This window comes from Homo sapiens, chromosome 20, assembly GCF_000001405.40.
Source record: "Homo sapiens chromosome 20, GRCh38.p14 Primary Assembly".
Lineage (NCBI taxonomy): Eukaryota > Metazoa > Chordata > Mammalia > Primates > Hominidae > Homo > Homo sapiens.
In genome coordinates, this window is record NC_000020.11 from 31,750,091 (window position 1) to 31,771,424 (window position 21,334).

The 21,334-nt window shown below is 41.0% G+C and overlaps 1 protein-coding gene across 6 annotated transcripts in view; it reads left to right on the top strand.

Annotated features, from left to right (window-relative positions):
- TPX2 (TPX2 microtubule nucleation factor) overlaps positions 1–21,334 on the top strand; it is a 62,511-nt gene that overhangs the window by 10,801 nt on the left and 30,376 nt on the right. For all 6 annotated transcript variants that reach the window (NM_012112.5, XM_011528700.4, XM_011528699.3 and 3 more), the window contains 4 exons: positions 7,317–7,492; positions 9,967–10,089; positions 16,466–16,592; positions 20,253–20,381. In NM_012112.5, the coding sequence (NP_036244.2) occupies positions 7,387–7,492; positions 9,967–10,089; positions 16,466–16,592; positions 20,253–20,381 (485 nt within the window). In that variant the 5' untranslated portion in view covers positions 7,317–7,386. The remainder of the gene's footprint in view (positions 1–7,316; positions 7,493–9,966; positions 10,090–16,465; positions 16,593–20,252; positions 20,382–21,334) is intronic.

Sequence of the window (21,334 nt, forward strand, 5' to 3'; positions counted from 1 at the left end):
CGATGCCCAGCTAATTTTGTGTTTTTAGTAGAGACAGGGTTTCACCATGTTGGCCAGGATGGTCTCGATTTCTTTTTTTTTTTTGAGACGGAGTTTCGCTCTTGTTGCCCCGGCTGGAGTGCGATGGTGCGATCTTGGCTCACTGCAACCTCCACCCCCCAGGTTCAAGCAATTCTCCTGCCTCAGTCTCCCAAGTAGCTGGGATTACAGGCATGCACCACCACACCTGGCTAATTTTATATTTTTAGTAGAGACAGGGTTTCTCCATTTTGAGGCTGGTCTCGAACTCCTGACCTCAGGCGATCCGCCCGCCTTGGCCTCCCAAAGTGCTGGGATTACAGGTGTGAGCCACCGTGCCCGGCTATTTATTTATTTATTTATTTATTTATTTATTTATTTATTTATGAGACGGAGTCTCACACTGGAGTGCAGTGGCATGATCTCGGCTCACTGCAACCTCTGCCTCCTGCATTCAAGCGATTCTCCTGCCTCAGCCTCCCGAGTAGCTGGGATTACAGGCATGTGCCACCAAACTCAGCTAATTTTTGTATTTTTAGTAGAAAGATGGGGTTTCACCATGTTGGCCAGGTTGGTAGTTCTATATAGAAATATTAGAAAGAGAATATGTAACATTTGGGTAAGTTAATAGTCAATTTATAGGCCACGTAAATGGGAAGGATTATTTCCTTAAATCAAGAGATTAGACAATCATTGCTTGTCATGAATATTTAATAAAAATTTGAGAAAGCTCAGTTTCTTTTGGGCTGCAAACATAGATCTAGGGAAATAAATACTGCTTAACTATTTTGTTGTTGTTGTTGTTGTTGTCTTTTAAGAGACAGAGTCTCACTCTGTTGCCCACGTTAGAGTGCAGTGGTGCAATCGTGGGTCACTGTGGCCTCAAACTCCTGGACTCAAATGATCCTCCCACCTCAGCCTCCTGATTAGCTGGGACTACAGGCACACACCACCATGCCCAGCTACTTAGGAGGGGTTGAGGAGGGAGGATCCTTTGGGCCCAGGAGTTCGAGTCTAGCCTGAGCAACAGGCTAGATTCTTTAAAAAACAGAGATGAAAAAGAAAGAAAAAAAGGATGTGAAGGGTTAAATTTGAACACTTTCCAGGTAGTTTTCAGCATCATGCTTTGGTGGAATCATGGTTTTGAGGCTAAGTGGGGTTGCTGCATGTTACATTCCTGCCTCTTCCTTCCCCCAGCTTTAGTCGTCTTCATTACATTCATGCCTGGGAAGCCTTCCCAGTGACCTGAGTTAGGCATTAAGATCATGGGAATCCAAGATTTTCCCATGTCTTCTAGCATATTTGTTCACAAGAAAAGGAAAATTTCCTCCTTGCAGCAAGGGGTTTTTAACCACTGTCAGTACCATGGAATCTTTCACTAAAAATCCTTTGAATAGAAATGTGGTCAAGGAGAGGAAAGGTATCAGCAGTGATAATACCTTACAATAGTGTATTTCATAGCACTTGAAGTAGCTTCTTATTTGATTATGGTAAGAAGGTAGGCAGAGAATTAGTGACTTGCCTATTGTCATATACATGTGGTAAATGCCAGAGAGGGCATTCTGGACTTCTGTTAGTTGGAATTGCTTTTGACTACAGGTGACAGAAAATGTGGCTATAATGGTTTATACAATAATTATTATTATTTTCTGAGATGAAGTCTCACTCTTGTCACCCAGGCTGGAGTGCAATGGCGCAATCTCAGCTCACTGCAACCTTCGCCTCCTGGGTTCAAGTGATTCTCCTGCCTCAGCCTCCCGAGTAGCTGGGATTACAGGCACCTGCCACCACACCTGGCTAATTTTTATATTTTTATTAGAGACAGGGTTTCACCATGTTGGTGAGGCTGGTCTCGAACTCCTGACCTCAGGTGATCCGCCTGCCTTGGCCTTCCAAAGTGTTGGGATTACAGGTGTGAGCTACCGTGCCTGGCCTATTTTTTTTTAGTATAAGAAGTCTTTTTAGCAGGTCATGGAAAATTGTAAAAAACACCAGAAGTCTAGAGGTATATAGTAGCTGATATTTGATCTTTAATAGTCATTAGCTCATTGATGTTAAGCCCTATGTTTATTGTTCTCTTGGCCATCTACTCATGTATACCAGATGACTGCCATAGCTCCAGCTTGCCTTCAAGGCAAGAAGAAGGATAAAGGGAAAGGGCAGGAATAAGGGCTATAGCTGTTTTCAGGAAAGAAAATTTTTTCCTAGGAATCCCTCAGCAGATTCTTACTTAGTTCTCATTGGCCAGAACTGTCCCATGGCTACCCCAAGCTTGGAAAGTGGCTATCAGGAGGTAACTTCCATTTTAATGTACTTGCTACTGTTTTGGTCATGGTCAATGAAAAATATTTAATCGTACCTTGACTTCAGCCATGTTAATTTCTAATTCTCTATACTTAGAGTTCATACTGTATAATTTAAACAAACTGTCTTATTTATTGTGTATGATAGGACCTTAGCGTCTATGTAGATGTTAAGTTCCTTTGTGTTCAGGACTACATCTACTTTTTTTTCTTTTTTTTTGAGACGGAGTCTCGCACTGTTGCCCAGGCTGGATGCGGTGGCGTGATCTCGGCTCACTGCAAGCTCTGCCTCCCGGGTTCACACCATTCTCCTGCCTTAGCCTCCTGAGTAGCTAGGACTATAGGTGACCGCCACCATGCCTGGCTAATTCTTTTTGTATTTTTAGTAGAGACGGGGTTTCACCATGTTAGCCAGGATGGTCTCAATCTCCTCACCCTGTGATCCACCTGTCTCGGCCTCCCAAAGTGCTGAGGTTACAGGTGCGAGCCACTGAGCCTGGCCGCTTAGATCTACTTTTTGTGTGAAGATATAGAGTGTCATCCTTGAATGTTACTGAGAAACATTCAAGGGCACACAGCTTATGGCCCCTAGCAAGTACACACTATTGTGAACCACTGACAAAAAGCTTATTGAGTTAAGCTTAATAATGAAAGTAGAAATGGAGGAGAGAGGAAAATTTAGACTGGGGATACCAAAGAACCCCTATTCCAGACAGAAGACTATGGAGAATGGATTTACTTGGAAATAAATACAGTATTCTTTTCTATGCAAATAGCTTAACTTCATGAACACCCTTCTTTAATTCACAAGGTAAGAGGGCAGAAGGATGTAGAAAGAACATTGTGCTGAAGTCACGAGCCTCAGGTCCAGATCTGGCTCTGTTTTTACGTAACTGTGTGATACTGGGCAAGTCATTTAATCTTTCTGATCTTCAGCTTCTAGGTTGGGAATAATTGCTGCTTTACAGGATTGTTTTGCATATCAGAAAGAATACATATTTAGTATATCATGGCACCTGGCATGTAATGAACACCTCTGGTAACTGTTTTTACCATGATCCTTAGGATTTTTGTTGTGTGATCTTGGAGAACCCCTTTTTGCTTTAAGTTAATATCTTATAGACTGCAAAGGTTAGGTGTTAATCAAAGTTTCCTCCCAATTCTAAAATATCATGTTTCTACACTAAGTACCTCAATTAGAGCATTGTTATAAAGATACTTGTGGAATTCTGGCTGCAGTGAGCATAGGAGAGACCATGGGAAGATGATGTTCTCTGGGGTCTAGATTGATGTCACTGTATAAATGAAATATTTGTTATAACAGATGTTTCTGGCCGGGTGCGGTTGCTCATGCCTGTAATCCCAGCACTTTGGGTGGCCGAGGCAGGCAGATCACCTGAGGTCAGGAGTTCAAGACCAGCCTGGCCAACATGGTGAAACCCCATCTCTACTAAAAATAGAAAAATTAGCCAGGCGTGGTGGCGCACGCTTGTAACCCCAGCTACTTGGGAGGCTGAGGGAAGAGAATCGCTTGAACCCAGGAGGTGGAGGTTGCAGTGAACCAAGATCATGCCACTGCACTCCAGCCTGGGCGACAGAGCAAGACACCATCTCAAACAAAACAAAACAAAAACAACAACAATAACAGATGTTTCTGAGACACTATAAGGACCAGAAGTACATTATTTTTATTTATTTTATTTTTTGAGACAGAGTCTCGCTCTGTCTCCCAGGCTGGAGTGCAGTGGTGCGGTCTTGGCTCACTGCAGCCTCCCGGGTTGAAGTGATTCTCACCGAGTAGCTGGAACTACAGGTGCAGCCACCACCCCAGGCTAATTTTTGTATTTTCAGTAGAGATGGAGTTTCACCATGTTGGCCAGGCTGTTCTCGAATTCCTGACCTCAAGTGATCCTCCCGCCGCGTCCTCCCAAAGTGCTGGGATTACAGGCATGAGCCACCACTCTCAGCCCCTAGTCCATTTTGAATTGCCCTAGTCCACTGAGAGAAGCTGTGAAATGCTGGCCAAACCACTGAACGGCTATGTAGGTTGGGAGTAACTAATCTCATGATTCATCTCAGTGGATAGCTTATGTGGTATAGTTTAGAGAAAATGAGTGCTGCAGTGCCCAGAGTTGGGGAGAGTTTGGGGAACTGGCACACTCCTGGTAATGTAAGTGGGTGTTTTTTTCTTCTGAGGGACATTTTCACAGTATGTGTCAAGAGCTTTTGACCCAGCAGTTCCACCTCTTAAGATTTATCTTAAGGGAAGAATTATGGATGTGTACAGAAATTTAGCTACAAGGATGATGCTTTAGCAGTATCTTTAAAGTGAAAATATTGGAAAAAGGCTGAAAATCAAGGATAAGTAATTATGGAACAGATACAGCCATTAATTGATATGTCTATATTTATTGACATACAAGAATATTCATAATATGTGAAGCAGATTCAAACTGTCAATGATTCATTTAAAAAAATAATAGTTTGTATATATATGAGGGAGAAGACATCTGGAATAGTGTAGCATTATAGGTTTATTTATTTATTTATTTTTGAGCCGGAGTCTCGCTCTTGTCACCCAGGCTGGAGTAGAGTGGCGTGATCTTGGCTCACTGCAACCTCCGCTGCCTGCGTTCAAGGGATTCTTATGCCTCAGCCTCCTGAGTAGCTGGGATTACAGGTGCCCACCACTGCGCCTGGCTAATTTTTTGTATTTTTAGTAGAGACAGGGTTTCACCATTTTAGCCATGATGGTTTTGATCTCCTGACCTCGTGATCCACCCGCCTTGGCCTCCCAAAGTGCTGGGATTACAGGCGTGAGCCACCGTGCCCGGCCGCTTTTTTGTATTTTTAGTAGAGATGGGGTTTCACCATGTTGGCCAGGCTGGTCTCAAACTCCTGACCTCAGGTGATCCATCCGCCCTGGCCTCTCAAAGTGCTGGGATTACAGGCATGAGCCACTGCGCCACACTAGAAAGGTATTAATTTAAATAAACATTTATTCAAGTGATTACTGGCATCTACCTCCCTTCTAAGATACAGATACTTTTAAGTACATGTCGTTCCCTGGATAAAAACAAATGGCTGGCCGGGCGCGGTGGCTCACACTTGGGAGGCCGAGGTGGGTGGATCACTTGAGGTCAGGAGTTTGAGACCAGCCTGGCCAACATGGTGAAATCCCGTCTCTACTGAAAACAAAAAATTAGCAAGGTGTGGCTGTGGGCGCCTGTAATTCCAGCTACTAGAGACTGAGGCAGGAGAATTGCTTGAACCCGGAAGGCAGAGGTTGTGGTGAGCTGGGATCATGCCACTGCACTCCAGCCTGGGGGACAGAGTGAGACTCCGTCTCAAAAAAAAAAAAAAGACAAATGGCTCATTGGGTTTCATTGGCAAATTATTGGCCACTGAGTGTGGCCTTTAGGCTATTTATCAGATTACTTTCAGCTATTTTATTAACTAGATTAGGCTTGAGTAGGAGCTGACTTTAAACCTTCACAGGTTTCCACAAGATAGAGTGCAAAACTTCGTACGCAGGAGTAGGGAGGGGCCTATTTAACTTGTTCCCTTATCCTTGCTTCTGTTCCTATGCTGCATGTTGTGACTCTTACGTGTATTTCAAAGTTGTCGTCTTTATACTCAGAAATAGTATTTTTTGAGAATATTTCTAAGAAAAGACAACTTATATTTGACAAAACTGTGTTGAACTCTTACTATGTATAATGCACTGTGTTAAGCACCTTGATGGTTGGATGGATGGATGGATGGATGAGGTATACACAAGTGAGTAAAATCTATCTTTGTTTTTAGGAACTTCGAGTCTACTGGGAGAGACATTTACATAGTTAATATAAAATTGGATGATAAGTGTTACAGTGGAGATATAAACAAAGCACAATTGGCTTTGGAGAGGCAACAATTTTGTATGATAGGTGGAAATTGGGAAAGAGTTCATAGAGATTTGACCTGGACTTTGAATGATGGATAAGATTTTGGTTGGTAGGCATAAAAATTAGTGGTGTATTTTAGAAATTGGGTTATTCAGGGCAGAGAGAGAATAAATTGGGCTAGAGGAGGCTAGAAATGAGAAAATGGTAAATTGAGGGAAAATAATGACATGGTGAATGTAAAACACCTAGCACAGTGTAGATACTTATCAAACTTTGCCTCTTTTAAAAAACATTTAGAAAATTTATTTATTTATTTTATTTTTATTTATTATTATTTTTTTTGAGACAGAGTTTTGCTCTTCTTGCCCAGGCTGGAATGCAATGGCGCGATCTCGACTCACTGCAACTTTCACCTCCCAGGTTCAAGCGATTCTCCTGCCTCACCCTCCCGAGTAGCTAGAATTACAGGCGCCTGCCACCATGCCCAGCTAATTTTTTGTATTTTTTAAGTACAGAAGAGGTTTTGCCATGTTGGTCGGGCTGATCTTGAACTCCTGACCTCAGGTGATCCACCCGCCTCAGCCTCTCGAAGTGCTGGGATTACAGGCGTGAGCCACTGCTCCTGGCCTAAAATTTATTTTTAATTTCAATTTTTTCTTTTTGGTTTTTCTTTATATTTGCTGATTACTTAAAGATAATTTTTATTTTTTTAGAGATAGGGTCAACTACTTACAGATAATTTTTATCTTTTTAGAGACAGGGTCAACTGTTATACTTAGAGATAATTTTAATTTATTTAGAGACAGGGTCTGTCTATGTTTTGTAGGCTGGACTTGGACTCCTGGTCTCATGTGGTCCTCCCTCCTCCCAAAATGCTGGGATTACAGACGTGAGCCACTGTGTCTGGCCCACTTCTTTCTAATTCCAAACATATCTACCTCAAGGAGTATCTTTAAGTTACCTGAAAAACTAATGTTTAGGTTGATTGGACAAAGTAAGGCTATTTTCAGTAAATTCTAGGTGGTTTGCAAAATTACAAACGTGGTAGTAAAACCAAAGTAATGATGGGAATTTACTTAGATTTATGTGCAACCATTTCTTTCCTCAGAAGGTGACCTGCTGAGAAAAGTGGTACAAATACTGGGAAAAACCTGCTCTTCTGCGTTAAGTGGGAGACAATGTCACAAGTTAAAAGCTCTTATTCCTATGATGCCCCCTCGGATTTCATCAATTTTTCATCCTTGGATGATGAAGGAGATACTCAAAACATAGATTCATGGTTTGGTAAGTGCCTGCTTTCTCTGGCTATTTTAAGGATTAGTGGCTTGCTTTGTGCTGAAGACCTTTCAATAATAGAAGGGGTTGCAAGAAAAGAACTAAAATATCAACTTCTTTCTGCACCAAGACATTCTGTCATCCATGATATTATGGGAATAATTGAAATGCCCAGTATTTGGGGAATGGATTGTAAGTACAAAGCATATGTTGTTTTGTAGTTCAGAATGGCAGATTTAAGCTTTAGGGACCTATGGGAAAGTTCAGATGAACCAGTGTTCAACAAAACTCCATGCTCAAATATGTCTGTAGTGATGGCAGCCACATAAAAACTTTGTCTACTATCATTAGGGATAGATTATATCACAGCTAGGATATTGACATTCATACAATCTACCAGTTTTACTCAGATTTCTCCAGTTTTACTTGTATGTGTATTAAGTTCTCTGTGGTTTTATCACCTGTGTTGGTTTATGTGTCTACCATCACAGTCAAGATCTTTTATAATTACCCTCACCTCCCTCCTGCCACCCCTCCCTCAATTCATTTTTTTTTTTTTTTTTTTTGAGGCTGTAGTCTCGCTCTGTTGCCCAGGCTGGAGTGCAGTGGTACAATCTCAGCTCACTGTAACCTCCGCCACTCTTGTTCAAGCGGTTCTGCCTCAGCCGCCCAAGTAGCTGGGATTACAGGCGCCCACCAGCATGCCTAACTAATTTTTGTATTTTTAGTAGAGACAGTGTTTTGCCATGTTGGCCAGGCTAGTCTTGAACCCCTGACCTCAGGTGATCCACCCACCTCAGCCTCCCAAAGTGCTGGGATTACAGGCGTGAGCCACTGCGCCTGGCCCTCAATTCATTTTTAAATGGAAGGATTATGCTACTAAGAACCCATTCCCAGAAACAGTATTGCTTGGCCAATGGTAAGTAAGAATGTGGTTACATTTTTACATTACTTTGAAATAATATCTGAGACTAGTTGTTGAGGCCCCTTTGATTCTTTCTCTCATGTCTCCATCCTCCTTATCGGGAGAAATCACTATGAATATGTGGTGGGGAACAGAAGTGAGTCCATTGCAGCTGTACTTATCCGTATAGTGCACTGTCCAAATGTGTTGACAGGTGCCATTTTTTGGAAAAGGACTTTAATGGCATCTAGTGGGGATCCTGAGAGGAGTCGTCTGTTGGAAGTGGTGTGGGAGGAAGGGTAAATAAATACAAGGGCCAGCTGTCCTGCGGGGATCTTCCCCATGCCCTTGCTTCACTGGAACTGTAAGGAAATGGCTGGGCTGTCTGAGGATTTCTTTTTCTAAGCTTTTCTTTAAAATAAAAAAGAAAAGAAAAGATTAGCCTAAGAATACTGTTAAATACAATTTGGAAGAAAAAAAATGACCCCACTATTTTTCCAAAACTACCTTAGTTTTAAAACATTTTTATTTTTTTTTCTTTTTGTTTTTGCCAGAGTTCTTTTGGCTAACAAAACTACCTCAGTTTTAATATATTACTTTCCAATTTCTTTCCCAAATAAATAGTCACATCTTTCTACACAGTTGCAATCAGAATGTACATGCACAGGGTAGTTATTGCTGTGTCTCACTGCATTCCTGAAACTATCAGTAGGCTGTTGGTAGAACAGACCCTTCACTGCTTTGTACTGACTTCTGGGCACAGTAGAATCTAAGATAAAATTTCTTGAGAGAACCTAGCTCTGCTCTACCCTCACACACCCCTTATTCCTCCCACCACCCCACTGAGGAGGAAACTCTGTAAGACTATACAGTATCTCTTGTAAGCCCTACAGTTTTTGATGGTTACAGTTTTCTTTCGTTTTTTTTTTTTTTTTTTTTTTGAGATGGAGTCTTGCTCTGTCGCCAGGCTGTAGTGCAGTGGTGCGGTCTCAGCTTACTGCAAATTCCACCTTCCAGGTTCAAGCGATTCCCCTGCCTCAGCTTCTCAAGTAGCTGGGATTAAAGGCATGTGCCACCACGCCTGGCTAATTTTTTGTATTTTAGTAGAGACGGGGTTTCACCATGTTGGCCAAGACAGTCTCGATCTCCTGACCTCATGACCCACCCGCCTCGGCCTCCCAAAGTGCTGGGATTACAGGTGTGAGCCATCGCTCCCGGCTGGTTACAGTTTTCTTTAAGAGGAACATGATATATTTAGGGAGTAGATAAAGCCAGTTCATATTTGTATGACCCTAAATGTGTACCAAACAAAGATAAGGAGTTATTCACAATGCAGAATCTGTACTTTTCCTTTTTTATAATACATTGTTCAATGTTGCCAGTTTTTAGTGATTGTTCTTATAGTCTATCTCGGATGTGTAATGTGTACTTTTTCTTTTGATTGCTAGAACTTTGCTTGTACTTGCCACATGAGTTGGAAGTGTACTGGTAGGGAGCTTTAGTTTGCATTTTAAATGCGTGATAGTGATTTGTTTTGCTTCCTTGCTGATCAGACAATGATGATCTTCCCTTTTCACAGAGGAGAAGGCCAATTTGGAGAATAAGTTACTGGGGAAGAATGGAACTGGAGGGCTTTTTCAGGGCAAAACTCCTTTGAGAAAGGCTAATCTTCAGCAAGCTATTGTCACACCTTTGAAACCAGGTAAGAAAACATCTTAGAAAAAAGCTCCTTGATAGAATGGTGGGACAGTGTTTTAGAAGCCTGAGGTTCTGGGAAAATTACCTAAATGCTCTATCTCTTTGTTTATTATTGGTGAAATGGGCTAATTCATTTCATGATAAATGTAAAACTAATGATGTGCTACACTTAAAAAAAAATCTCTTGGAGCTTAAGCTAACATAGAATTTTTTTTTTTTTTTCTTTAAGATGGGGTCTGGTTCTGTCACCCAGGCTGGTGGAGTACAGTGGCACAGTCATAGCTCACTGCAGCCTCAAACTCCTGAGCTCTTAGTAACTGGGACTACAGGTGCTCAACACCATGCCTGACTGATTTTTAAAAAATTTTAGTAGAGGAGTCTTTGCTAGCCAAGCTGGTCTTGACCTCCGGGCTTCAAGTGATCTTCCTGCCTCAGGGGCTTCCCAAAGTGCTGGGATTATAGGTGTGAGCTACTGTTCCCGGGGGCTAACATAGAATTTTATTGCCAGATACGTAACTGTTATCTTTTTGTGACAAGATTTAATGTAACCTAACCTGGGTCTGGGTGGGAAATAAAACAGCAAGAAAGAAGACTGTACTGCTTGCCATTGTACAAGAATTCTTTGAGTTATGTATCTGATTTTAAAAGATGATGGATCGCTTCTCGGCCTTTTGGCTAAGATCAAGTGTAAAAGATGATTGACATTTAAACTGGTGGGTACTGGATCTGCAGAATATTGTCTGTTTGGTTAGAACATAAGAAGCATTCTTTAAGAGGTCATAAAATCCTTCTTGAAATTGATTCTTTTGAAAAAAACAGCTGTATTTAGATTTAACTCACACATCATATGATTCACTTAAGATAAACATTTCAGTGTTTTTAAGTATATTCACAGAGTTGTGCAACCATCATCCTATCAGTTTAGAACATTTGAAAAGTATTATGTGGGTAAATCTGAAACTGGTCTCCATCACACCATATGACTACTCTCACCTCCCTCCTGTCACCCCTCCTTCAATTAATTTTTTTTTTTTTTTTTTTTTGAGACTGGCGTCTCACCCTGTTGTCCAGGCAGGAGTGCAGTGGTATAGTCTCGGCTCACTGTAACCTCCACCACCTGGGTTCAAGTGATTCTCCTGCCTCAGCTGCCCAAGTAGCTGGGATTACAGGCGCCCACCAGCATGCCCGGCTAATTTTTGTATTTTTAGTAGAGACAGGGTTTCACCATATTGGCCAGGCTGGTCTCAAACTCCTGACCTTGTGATCCGCCCACCTCGGCCTCCCAAAGTGCTGGGATTACAGGCGTGAGCCACTGCACCCGGTCAATATTTATCTTTCTATGCCTGACTTACTTCACTTAACATAATGTCCTTCAGGTTCATCCATGTTGCCATGAATGACAGAATTTCATTCTTTTTTATGGCTAAATAGTATTCCATTGTATATATATATGCCACATTTTATCTGTTCATCTGTTGATGGATACTTCAGTTGATTCCATATCTTGACTATTGTGAATAGTGCTGTAATAAACATAGGAGTGCACATAGATATCTCTTCGATGTACTGATTTCCTTCTTTTTGGATATATACCCAGTAGGGGGATTGCTGGATCATATGGTAATTATATTTTTAATTTTTTGAGGAGCCTCCATACTGTTTTCCATAATAGCTGTACTAATTGACTTTACTACTAACAATATATAAGAGTTCTCCTTTCTCTGCATCCTCAGGGATGCAGAGAAATTTTTAATATTTTTCATAGTGTCCATTCTAACTGGGATGAAAGGATATCTCATTGTGATTTTTAATTTGCATTTCCCTGATGATTAGTGATGTTGAGCATTTTTTCACATACCTGTTTGCCATTTGTATGTGTTCTTTTGAGAGATGTCTGTTCAGCTCATTTGTCCGGCTGTTGAGTTATTTGAGTTCCTTGTGTATTCTGGATATTAGTCCCTTCTTGAATGAATAGTTAGCACGTATTTTCTCCCATTCTTTAGTTGTCTCTTCACTCTGTTGATTGTTTCCTCTGCTGTGCAGAAAGTTTTAAATTTAATATAATCCCATTTGTCTACTTTTGCTTTTGTTGCCTATACTTTTGAGGTCATGTTCATAGGATCTTTGCCCAGAACCGTGTCCTAAAGTATTTCACCTATGTTTTTATTTTATTACTTTATTTATTTATTTTTGAGACAGAGTCTCACTCTGTTGCCCAGGCTGGAGTGCAGTAGTACGATCTCGGCTCACTGCAACCTCCGCCTCCCGGGTTCAAGTGATCCTCCTGCCCCAACCTCCCAAGTAGTTGTGACTACAGGCGCGCACCACCACACCCAGCTAATTTTTGTATTTTTAGTAGAGATGGGGTTTCGTGATGTCGGTCAGGCTGGTCTTGAACTCCTGACTTCAAGTGATCCTCCCACCTCGGCCTCCCAAAGTGCTGGGATTAGAGTCATGAACCACCGCCCTCGGCCTCCCCTATGTTTTTAGTTGTTTCATAGTTTAAGGTCTTACATATTAGTCTTTAATCCATTTTGAGTTGATTTTTGTATATGGTAAGAAATAGATGTCTAGTTTCATTTTTCTGCATTTAAATATCTAGTTTGATCAGCACCATTTTTTGATTTTTCAAATTTAAATTTTATTTTAGAGATGAGGTCTTACTCTATTGCCTAGGCTTGTCTCAGAATTCCTGGGCTTAAACAATCCTACCACTTCAGCCTCCCAAAGCTAGCACCATTTATTGAAAAGACTGTCCCTCCACCAAGGAATGTTCTTGGTGCTGTTGTCAAAAATCAGTTGGCTATAAATACGTGGATTTTTTCCTGGGTTCTCTATCCTATTCCATTTGTCTGTGTGTCTGTTTTTATGCCAGTACCATGCTGTTATGGTTACTATAGCTTTGTAATGTATTTTGAAGGCTGGTAATTTGATGCCTTCAGCTTTGTTCTCTTTGCATAGGATTGGTTTGGCTATATGGGGTCTTTTGTGGTTCCATGTGAATTTTAGGTTTTTTTTCTTGAGACAGAGTCTCACTCTTGTTGCCCAGGCTGGAGTGCAGTGGTGCGATCTTGGCTTACTGCAACCTCCGCCCCCCGGGTTCAAGTGATTCTCCTGCCTCAGCCTCTGGAGTAGCTGGGATTACAGGCATCTGCCACCACCCCTAGATAATTTTTGTATTTTTAATAGAGATGGAGTTTCACCATTTTGGCCAGGCTGGTCTCGAACTCCTGACCTCAGGTGATCTACCTGCCTCGGCCTCTGAAAGTGCTGGGATTACAGGCGTGAGCTACTGCGCCTGTCCTGCTTATACATTATTTATGGCTGTTGTATTCTTACTAATTTTTCTTTCCATTTGTTCCATCAATTAGAGAGAGAGGTAGTGAAATCTCAGACTGTAATTATGGATTTGTCTCTTTATCTTTATAATTTTTGCTTCATATAGTTTGAAGCTACTATTAGATGCATAAATGTTTAGGATTGTTATGTCACGTTGATGAATTGGCCACTTTAATTTAATTTAAATTTAATTTAATTTAAATTTAATTTTTTTTTTTTTTTTGGCTGGACGTGATACCTCATGCCTGTAATCCCAGCACTTTGGGAGGCTGAGGTGGGCGGATCACAAGGTCAGGAGTTCGAGACCAGCCTGGCCAATATGGTGAAACCCTGTCTCTACTGAAAAATACAAAAATTAGCCGGGTGTGGTGGTGCGCACCTGTAGTCCCAGCTACTCGGGAGGCTGAGGTAGGAGAATCGCTGAAACCTGGGAGGCGGAGGCTGCAGTGAGCCAAGATCATGCCACTGTACTCCAGCCTGGGCGATAGAGCAAGACTCCATCTCAAAAACAAAAAATTATATACATATATATACACACACACATACACACATATATATACACACAAGCATATATATATGTACATACATCTAATATACATGTATGTGTGTATATATGTACATATACATGTATGTGTACATACATGTACACATACATGTATATGTATATATTTTTGAGACAGGGTCTCACTCTGTCACCCAGGCTGGACTGCAGTGGAGCAATCACGCCTCACTGCAGCCTCTACCTCCTGGGCACAGGTGATCCTCTTACCTCAGCCTCTTGAGTAGCTGGGACCACAGATGCCACTACCATGCCTAGCTAGTTTTTGTATTTTTTGTAGAGACAGAATTTTGCCATGTTGCCTAGGCTGGTTTTGAACTCCTGGGCTCAAGTGCTCCACCCACCTCAGCCTTCCAAAGTTCTGGGATTACAGGTTGAGCCACTGTGCCTGGCCCCACTTTAACAGTTTGAAATGATCTTCTTTATCCCCATTGAAATTCTGTGCTCTGAAACCTACTTTGCCTGATATTAATATAGCCACTCTAGTTTTCTTTTGATTGGTTTTAGCATGGTATGTCTATATTTAAAGTGCATTTTTTTGTAGACAGCATATAATTGGGTCTTGCTTTATTATTTAATATTATTGTTGCTGCATTTTAATTGGAATAAATGCATCTATTTTAGCCTTGACATGCTATGCTATTATTTTGTGTGTGCGTGTGAGTCTCTCTGCCCCAAAAATATTTCTTTAGGAGATGAACCAAATGATTGTTCTCTGAAATGAATAATGCCTAAACTATGTTTTCATGGCCTATCTTTTCTTCCCTGTCATCTTGTTGCAGTTTAATTCCTTTATCAGGAGTCAGTTCATATGCTATGTGATTAAGTGCTGTTTCTTCCATGAAGCCTTTACTTGTTTCTTATTCTGTTTTGTTTTTTTGTTTTTGTTTTTTTTTTTGCAGACAGGGTCTCAGTGTGTCACCCCATCTATAGAGCAGTGGCATGATCACAGCTCCCTGCAGCCTTGACCTCCTGGGCTCAAGTGATCCTCTTGCCTCAGCCTCCTGAGTAACTGGGACTACAGGCACATTCCACCATGTCTGGCTAACTTTCTCAGTGTTCCCATAACACTTTTTTTCTATTTCGTTAAAAATGTTTATCAAGGCTGGGCTTGTAGTTCATGCCTGTAATCCCAGTACTTTGGGAGGCCAAAATGAGAGGATTGATTGAGGCCAGGAGTTTGAGACCAGCCTGGGCAATATACTGAGACCCCCATCTCTATTTATATAATATTGAAAAGCAAAAAAAAAAAAAAAAAACGTTTATCAAAATAAAACATGGCCATGGTAACATGGCTAACAATACTTAGAGTTTATGTTAAAATAACCCCTTTCTCTTCCCATCCCTACCCCCTGTCCTTTTTCTCAAACTCATATTGGTTTTGTTGTTGTTGTTGTTGTTTGTTTTTATATTTTGTTTTACAGGTGGGATCTCACTGTGTTGCCCAAGCTGGTCTCAAAATCCTGGGCTCAAGTGATCTTCCTGCCTCCGTCTTCCCAGTAGCTGTTTTAACTCACTATTTTAACTTGTGCTGTGGTTACATTCATAATGCCTGATAGTATGATTATATCAGCAGTATTTACAATGTTATGATTATATAAATATTGTTCAATGCCAGATCAATAACTGTGATGCAGTTGCATCCCTTCTTGGTACTCTTTGGCTATCTTTGGTTGTATTGTCACAACCCCTGAGCCACATAAAGATGATTCTGACATCAGGAGATCAGTGGATTTGCTTTTCTTTAAACTTTATCAATTTCTTAAATTTCTGCCACACTTTATCTTGCTTCATATTGGACAATGATCCTTGGAAGTTATTACTACTTTTTTGGGAGAGCATTATTATTTTTACTATCTTTGCTGCCTTGTTTCCTGGACCTTATAACTTTCTTCTGGATATACTCCTTCATTATGTGGGAGTGCATCCTCAGGAAACTTTCTTAAATTAGTGCAGGAGAGAAAAACTTTGAGTTCTCACATATTTGAAAATGGCATTGTTTCACTTTTATATACAATTGAAAGTTTATCTTAATACAGCATTATAGATTGCAAATTATTTTTTATCACTACTCTAAAGACATTGTTCCTTTATCTTCTATTTTTATGTATTGCTGATGAAAAATTCAGTGCTTATCTAATTTTCCTTACTTTGTAAGTGATTTTTTTTCTTCTTTATGGAAGCTTTCAGAATTTTATCTTTACCAGTGTCCTGAAATGTCATGAGATTGTGTTTGGGATGCTTTTTTTAAAGGTAGTACCTTAGGCTGGCAAATAGGCAAGCCCTGGATACATCATTTCTGTTTCAACCAAAGTAGCTTTTATAAACTGGTCTTCTGTATAAGATTTAACTGGAACTAAGGTTTCTGTGGCTTAGACAGGGTGTGTGTGTGTGTGTGTGTGTGTGTGTGTGTGTGTGTGTGTCTCATCTCCAATTATTTTCCTTGGCCTTTGAGTGCTGACTAGCTTTTGGTCTTCCGCAGTTGACAACACTTACTACAAAGAGGCAGAAAAAGAAAATCTTGTGGAACAATCCATTCCGTCAAATGCTTGTTCTTCCCTGGAAGTTGAGGCAGCCATATCAAGAAAAACTCCAGCCCAGCCTCAGAGGTAAGACTTTGGAATCTCAAAGTGGTGGTTATGATAATAATGTTCAAAGGATAGTTACTGGACAGAACATCTATTATGTGTCTATACTGTGTTTATGGACACCTTTATGTTACTTTTTTTTTTTTTTTTTTTTTGAGACGGAGTGTTTCGCTCTTTTGCCCAGGCTGGAGTGAAGTGGCATGATCTTGGCTCACTGCAACCTCTGCCCCACCGTGTTCAAGCAATTCTCCTGCCTCAGCCTCCTGAGTAGCTGGGATTATAGGCACCTGCCACCACACCCGGCTAATTTTTGTATTTTTAGTAGAGATAGGGTTTTGCCATGTTGGCCAGGCTGGTCTCAAACTCCTGACCTCAGGTGACCCACCCGCCTCAGCCTCCCAAACTGCTAGGATTACAGGCGTGAGCTACTGCGCCCAGCTATGTTACCTTTAAAAATCCTCATAATATGGGTTTGTGTGGTTGGTATAAATTAAAAAAAATCTGTATAACATTTATGAGTTGTAGGTAATATGCTTAATTAATTTATAGATAAGGTCTCAGAGATACTAAGTTGCTTGCTTAAGGCAAGTTTATTTCAGAGCCAAGATTCAAACTCTTATCAATCTGTTTCCAAAGGCCTTGTATGGATATAATTGTTACATCTTCCTGATGTCAAATATCTTTGTTCTTCTGTATTACTTTAGCTCTCTTTTTCTTTTTTTTCTTTGAGACAGGGTCTTGTTCTGTCACCCAGGCTGGAGCTGGAGTGCAGTGGCACATAGTTCACTGCAGACTCGAACTCCTGGGTTCAAGTGATCCTCCTGCCTCAGCCTCCCAAAGTGCTGAGACTATATAGGCATAAACCACCGCATCCAGCCAATAGACAAATTTTTATTTTATTTATTTTTGAGACAGAGTCTTGCTCAGTTACCCAGGCTGGAGTGCAGTGGCATGATCATGGCTCACTGTAGCCACAACCTCCTGGGCTCAAGCAGTCTTCCCACCTCAACCTCCTGCGTAGCTGGGACTACAGGCACAAGCCACTGTGCTCAGCTAATATTTTTGTATTTCTTGTACAGACAAGGTTTTACGATGTTGCCTAGGCTGGTCACAAACTCGAGCTCAAGCAATCCACCCACCTATGCCTCCCAAAGTGTTAGGATTACAGGCATGAGCCACTGCACCCAGGCCAGAGTAGAGTTTATAATCAGAGTTTAGTGTTTACCCTCTCTGTGGTTTTCTTGCTTCTGAAATTTTGCCTCAAAAATTTCATCTTTTTTTTTTTTTTGAGAGAGGGTCTTGCTCTGTTGCCCAGGCTGGAGTGCAATGGCATGATCTTGGCTCACTGCAGCCTCGACCTCTCAGGTGTAAGCAATCCTTCTGCCTTAGCCTCCTGAGTAGTGGAGACTACAGGTGCAGGGCACCAGGTGGCCAGCTAATTTTCGTATTTTTTGTAGAGATAGTGTCTTTCCATGTTGTCCAGGCTGGTCTTGATCTCCTGAGCTCAAGCGATCTGCCCACCTATGCCTCCTAGAGTGCTGAGATTACAGGCGTGAGCCACCATGCCCGACACATGCCATCCTTTTTTTTTTTTCAGACGAGTCTCGCTCTGTCGCCCAGGCTGGAGTGCAGTGGGCGATCTTGGCTCACTGCAACCTCCGCCTCCCGGGTTCAAGTGATTCTCCTGCCTCAGCCTCCTGAGTAGCTGGGACTACAGGCGCCCGCCACTACGCGCGGCTAATTTTTTTTTTTTTTTTGTATTTTTAGTAGAGACGGGGTTTCACCGTGTTAGCCAGGATGGTCTCAATCTCCTGACCTTGTAATCCGCCCACCGTGGCCTCCTAAAGTGCTGGGATTACAGGCGTGAGCCACTGTGCCCGGCCGGAAAGATTTCTTAAACAGGACACACACAGAAAAGCACTGACCATAATGGGGGTGGAAGAGGTTGATAAATTCAGGCACATTTATCTAATTAAAAGATAAAGAGATGAAAAGCCAACCCCTAGAGTAGGAGAAACTATTTGTAACCCATGAATCCTACAAAGGGCTTATATCCAGAGTATACAAAGAATTACAAATCAATTAGTAAAGAATTGACAAGCCAGTAGAAAACAGGCAAACGACTTAAACTAGCACTTACGAAAAGGGACAACCAAATGGCCGATACACATGTGAAAATGTACTCAGTTTCACTGATCATCAGAGAAAAGCACATTAATTTCCTATGACCCAGCAATCTTATTTTTTTTAGAATAGTTAAAATGAGGAGATAACCCATCAATAGTAGACTGAATAAATAGTTGCACATCCCTACAATGAATATTATACAGCAATGAAAGTCAGTGAATTAGAGCTGTGTGAATTGTCGTGGTTGAATCTCACATACATAAAGTTGAGTGAGATAAGCCAGACAGAAAAGAATACTTGTAGTAGTGTGGTTACATTATACAAAATTTTTGGGTGCAGCACACCAGCATGGCACATGTATACATATGTAACTAACCTGCCCATTGTGCACATGTACCCTAAAACTTAAAGTATAATAATAAAAAAAAAAAACCACAAAATTTTTTGTTTTTCTTCGAAACTAACATACCATGTTTACGTAATACGTGCTTATTTGGTAAAACAATAAGGAAATTATCTAATGATCACGCTTTTTTTTTTTTTTTTTCAAGGCGGAGTCTCGCTCTGTTGCCTAGGCTGGAGTGCAGTGGTGCGATCTCGGTTCACTGCAAGCTCCGCCTCCCGGGTTCACGCCATTCTCCTGCCTCAGCCTCTCAAGTAGCTGGGACTACAGGCGCCCGCCGCCACGCCTGGCTAATTTTTTTTTTCTGTATTTTTAGTAGAGACGGGGTTTCACCATGTTATCCAGGATGGTCTCGATCTCCTGACCTGGTGATCCGCCTGCCTCGGCCTCCCAAAGTGCTGGGATTACAGGCGTGAGCCACCGCGCCCAGCCTATCTAATGATCACTCTTAAAATCAAGGTAGCAGTGGTTGTCAGTGTTCTGTATTTTGGCCTAGGTGGTGATTTCATAAGGTCTTCCACTTTGTAGTCATTTAAGTATTTTTGTTTTGTGCACTTTTTGGTATGTATTAGATCTGTCATTATGCTCTTTGTTTTGTATTCATCTTATTGATTTATTTATTTTTAGACAGAGTCTTACTCTGTTGCCCAGGCTGGCATGCAGTGGCACGCTCATGGCTTACTGCAGCCTTGACCTCCTGGGCTCATGTGATTCTTCCGCCCCAGCTTCCTAAGTATCTAGCACCACAGATGCGCACCAGCACGTAGGGCTAATTTTTAAAAAATTTTTTGTAGAGACAGGGTCTTGATATGTTGCCCATGCTGGTCTGAACTCCTGGCCTCAAGCAGTCCTCCTGCCGCAGCTTTCCAAAGTGCTAGGATGGCAAGCATGAGCTACCAGGCCCAGCCAAGTTTTTCTTTTTAATCATTTTATTGAGGTCACATTTATAGACACCGGTGTATTTAAGAACTAAAATGTTATGGTTGAATTTCAAAAACTATCAACAAGAGAGATTAGATTTTTAGAGCAGAGATAATAGCACTCCATTTTATTGCCCTTTGTAGTTTGACATCCTTTCACATTTCTCAGGAACATTTGGATATCTGTAGTATATATATTTATTATATATTTTGTCAATTTCTCTACCATAGAAGATCTCTTAGGCTTTCTGCTCAGAAGGATTTGGAACAGAAAGAAAAGCATCATGTAAAAATGAAAGCCAAGAGATGTGCCACTCCTGTAATCATCGATGAAATTCTACCCTCTAAGAAAATGAAAGTGTGAGTAGCCACAACTTCTTACTGCCAAGGGCAGACATATTGTACCTTGTATACCACTTGTAAGTTTCTTTTCTGAATTTACACTTTAGATTGAATAGATTAAAATTAAAAATGGTACATCTGTAATATGTTTGGTGTACCTCAAGCTTGAGAAATGCCTAAAACTGTGACCATGGTGAGGTGAATTGTTACGTGTGTCCTGGAGGGCACTCACATCTTAGTTGGCATAGGTTTTACCTCTTTTTGTTTTTACGGCTAATAACAAGCTGCATACATGATGTTTGTTTATATTTTTATTAGTTAAGAATGTATTTTGCTGCAAGTAATAGTCTTCAACTGGAGTGGTTTAAAGAATAATGAATTATTTGTTTCACAGAGGTCTAAAAGTAGTTTGCTGCTGGCTTTGGTTCAGTGGCTGATTTTTAGCTTTTTTTTTTTTTTTTTCGTACTTGTTCTTCAAGATGCTGCTCTGTGTTTCTTAGATTTTTTCTTTTGCTTGTTGTCTCACTGGCACAAGATGGCTGGTGTATCTCTAGGTGTTATATTTATGTTTAAGAGAAGAAGAAGAGTACAGTAAAGGAAAAAGGGCAGCATCTATATCAGGAAACTTAAGTCTTTCGCAGCAACCCTTAAATTTCATTTCATTCGCCTAGACTTGTGTCACTTGGATTCCCTAGTTGCAGTAGAGGCTGTTGAGGCAAGTACAATACTTACTTGTAGCTTAGTGCGTTGCTGCTCCTCCCGAAATTGGGGTTTTGTTAATGAGAAAGAGACAGAATAGATATTGGGATGGCAATTAACTCTGCCATTTGATCATTTGATGGTGAGCAGTTAGAGTCCCTCCTTACTCTTCCAAACCACCACTAGATAACTCTTATCTTGATAGCGGTTGGCTTTCTCAAAGTTTACTCATTGAAGCCATTAATATATATGATCTAATGATACTGTTGGAA